General features: G+C 40.7%; 1 annotated feature.

Annotated features, from left to right (window-relative positions):
• Positions 267 to 436: an enhancer, noted in NCBI's record as "active region_28287". NCBI's record gives its function as "activates an Ori minimal core promoter by ATAC-STARR-seq in GM12878 lymphoblastoid cells {active_cell/tissue: GM12878}" and the evidence as "EXISTENCE:reporter gene assay evidence [ECO:0000049][PMID:35858748]".

The raw sequence follows: 4,025 nt of genomic DNA, 5'->3' as shown, positions 1-4,025 counted from the left end.
GTATTAAAAAGTATATATTAGGGCTGGGTGCGGTGGCTCACACCTGTAATCTTAGCACTTTGGGAGGCCAAGGCGGGCATATCACTTGAGGTCAGGAGTTCGAAACCAGCCTAGCCAACATGGTGAAACCTCGTCTCTACTAAAAATACAAAAAAACATTAGCCTGGCATGGTGGCGGGTGCCTGTAATCCCAGCTACTCAGGAGGCTGAGGCAGGAGAATCGCTTGAACTCCGGAAGGGGAGGTTGCAGTGAGCTGAGATTGCGTCACCGCGCTCTAGCCTCGGTGACAGAGTAAGACTCTGTCTCCAAAAAAAAAAAAATTAAACGCCTGGCTCATAACAAAACTTAATACATGATGCCGTTATGAAAAGGAGGAAGAGAGAGGTGAGGAGAAACAGAAAGAGGAAGAGGGAAGAGAGAAGTTGGGTGGTGAAGCTACAGCCAGCCCCATGTTCTGGGCAGCTCCAGGCAATGCGGGGCCCATGGAAACCTGCCCATCTCTTCACCTGGCTTTCATTCATTTTGACTTCAGGACACTCTTATTCTCCTTAGAAGGGTCAGGGCCAACCTCTACTAATAGACCCCTATGAAAGCTTTCCCTACTGAATGAAGAACTGCAGTAAAAAACAGGTATAAGAGCCTGCCCCAGTATACGCCTCTGGCACTCCTGTGGCTCCACGCCACCAATGCACAGCAGCAGATTTGTCTTTCCGCCTTTTTAACTTTCCAGGCTTGACCAACAGTAGCCTATGCAGAAATGTGCAAGTCACAAGCTGAATCCTTCTTTTGTGAAGGAATTGAGCTGGTGACCTGAGAGAGCTGGGGTGTGTGTGTGTGTGTGTGTGTGTGTGTGTGTGTGTGTGATTTCCAATTGCCTCCAATTTCTCCACATTCTCAACATTTTAACATTCTAGTGAGTGTAAAGTGATATCTCATTGTGGTTTTAGCTTGCATTTTCCTGAAAACTAATAATGGTGGGCACTTTTTCCTGTACTATATAGCTACTTATATATCTCCGAATGTTGATTCACGACTTTTTGCCTATTTAGATAAGCTGGGTTGTTCATCTTTTTATTGCTGATACAAATACATTGTTGGTGGATGTGTAAAATGATACAACTTATTTGGAGAATTGTTTTTCGCAATTAAAAAAATTACACATCTATCCATGCTATGACCTTGCAATTCCATCCACAGTAAATAAAAAGCATATGTCTACACAAAGCCTTATTCGTAAATATTCATAGAAGCTTTATTTGTATTAGGCAATAAGTGGAAATGATCCAAATGTCAGTCAGTTGGTGCACAGATAGACCAACTGGAATACAGCTATGCAATAGAATACCACCTGGCAATAAAAGTGAATTAACTATTGATACGTGCTACAACATGACTGAATCGCTAAAACATTATGATTCCTGAAAGAAGGCAAACACAAAAGAGTATGCACTGTATAATTCTGTATAATTCCACATATGTAAGTTCTACAACAGGGGAAGCTAATTGTGGTGACAGAGGCGGATCAGTTGTTGCTTTCAGGGTAGGGCATGGGGAGAGTAGGAGGGAACCTTCTGGGGCAGTGGAAATACCGTATATATTATTTAGAGTAGGGATTACACTGGGGTATACAGTTGTCGAAAAATCATCAAATGAAGATCTGTGCATTTCATTGTATGTAAATGTTATCTTGTTAAAAACAAAACTGAATTATGCCACAAATTTGAAGTGCTACCACCAGGTGGCACTGATGCGTAATTTCCAAGAGTTCAACTGTAAAGTTTATGCAGTGACTAAGACTCATAAATCATTCTATTTGCAAGTGTTCTCAAAAGCATGTGGCATTGTTTTGTGGGTATTTTTCATTTCAAAAAATAATATTGTGCTGGAGGCCTCCTTCTGTTCCTTTCTTCTTTTTTCCCCCATTCAGCATTGTGGAGTTTTGGCGTTTTTTGCTCTTGTTTATTTGTTTTTTGTAGAGACAGGGTCTCACCATCTTGCTCAGGCTGGTTTCATACTCCTGGGCTCAAGCAACCCTTCTGTCTCAGCCTCCCAAAGTGTTGGGATTACAGGCTTGAGCCACTGCAACTGGACAGAACCATGTTTTAAAGATTTCTTGACCTTTTGTGTGTATCTAATTCATTGCTTGTTACTGTGGTAGAATATTCTGTAGTGTGCTTATGTCACATTTTACTTACATTCATTTCCCCAATGATGAATGCCTCATTGCATCCAGCTCTCCAGCCATCACAAATAACTTGGTGATAAAATATCCTCTTATGGCCAGGCACAGTAGTTCACGCCTATAATCCACCCCCCCCAGACTTTGGAAGGCCGAGGCGGGTGAATCACCTGAGGTCGGGAGTTCGAGACCAGCCTGACCAACATGGAGAAACCCTGTCTCTACTAAAAACACAAAATTAGCCGGGCATGGTGGTGCATACCTATAATCTCAGCTACTTGGGAGGTTGAGGCAGGAGAATCGCTTGAACCCACGAGGTGGAGGTTGCGGTGAGCCGAGATCGCACCATTGCACTTCAGCCTGGGCAACAAGAGCGAAACTTTGTCTCAAAAAAAAAAAAAAATCCTCTTACATGTCTCTTTATGGAGTTGTGTGAGAATCTCTTTAATTATATAGCCAGTAGTGGGATCCTCCCCATCCCTACTCATAATATTTATTTATTTGTAGCATTTTATCCCCTTCTACTTAATACATTTCCTCCAGAATTGGTCATTATCTTGGGTGAAATAAGCCAGTCCCAAAAAGACAAACGTAGCATGTTCTCACATATGTGGGAGCCAAAAAAAATGTGATTACATTGAGGTAAAGAGAGGAAATACGGAGAACAGAGACTGAGAAGAATGAATGGAAGAGATGGGGAAGGATGAAGAGAAGTGGGTTAAAGTGTACAAACAGTTAGATAGAAGGAATACATTCATTGCTTGATAGCAGAGTAGGGTGACTATAGTTAAACAAAAATGTACTGTACTTGGGTGATGGACAGCCTAAATACCTTGACTTGATCACTATGCATTATATATATATGTAACGAGATTTCACATGTACCCCATAAATTTTTACAATTTTTACAAATAAAAAGATGCATCATAAAAAATTTCCTTCAAAATCTTCATGCTAAAAGTTATTAAGTATATTTAAGCAATGTCCTAAACTTTTAAATTAAAGGGAATATTTGCTGTGAATCCTTTTACTTCTCTCTTTGCAAAATAGCAAGTGTTGTTTGAGATGTGTTTTAAATTTACAAAATAGTATTGCTGACTAAGATTTGGATGTCCTTTTTTTTTTTTTTTTCATTCTCAAAGGAGGTGACCAAATTGTTAATCTGGATTTTTTTATACTGAATAAATTTCTCTCAATTTTTTTGTGGTATAGCAACTGAATTTGTGCACCATTGTAAATTGTAAATTAAAGCTGATATTTAAAAACAACTTTTAAGGCAAAGTTTCTCAATGGTGACACTACTGACATTTGGGACCTAATAATTCTTTGTTGTAAGGGGCTGCCCTGTGCCTTGTAGGAGGTTTGGCAGCATCTCTGGCTACTACCCACTAGATGCCAGTAGCACCTCTTTTCAGTTGTGACAACCAAAAATGTCCCCAGACCTTGTCAAATGTCCAATGGGAGACCAAAATTCACTCCAGCTGAGAATGACTGTTTTAAGATAAATGAAGTCTGGGATTCACTGGGGTCTTTTTCTAGATGTTTCCTTTCTTTTAATCAGTTCATTTCAATCCCAATCTCGGCTATAGACTTGTATTACATGGCCCTTTAAAAAAACATCCTCCCCTGCTTTCTAGCTGGAATAAAGCTCCTCCTGGAGACACTTTATCTCCAGATACTTTCTGGAGTCCTTTGTCTTTTAGCAGACTGAGCATCAACAGGCTTCCATGTTCGCTTCTCTCTAGGTTTCCTAACCTCCCCCTCTCAGCCACTGCAGAGGTCAGAGGAGGAAGACAGAGTCAGAATTTCTCCTGTGCTCCCCTCCCAGAGGAACCCAGAAGAGCA

Source organism: Homo sapiens, chromosome 9 (assembly GCF_000001405.40).
Source record: "Homo sapiens chromosome 9, GRCh38.p14 Primary Assembly".
Classification (NCBI taxonomy): Eukaryota; Metazoa; Chordata; class Mammalia; order Primates; family Hominidae; genus Homo; species Homo sapiens.
This window is presented reverse-complemented; position numbering and strand designations above follow the sequence as displayed.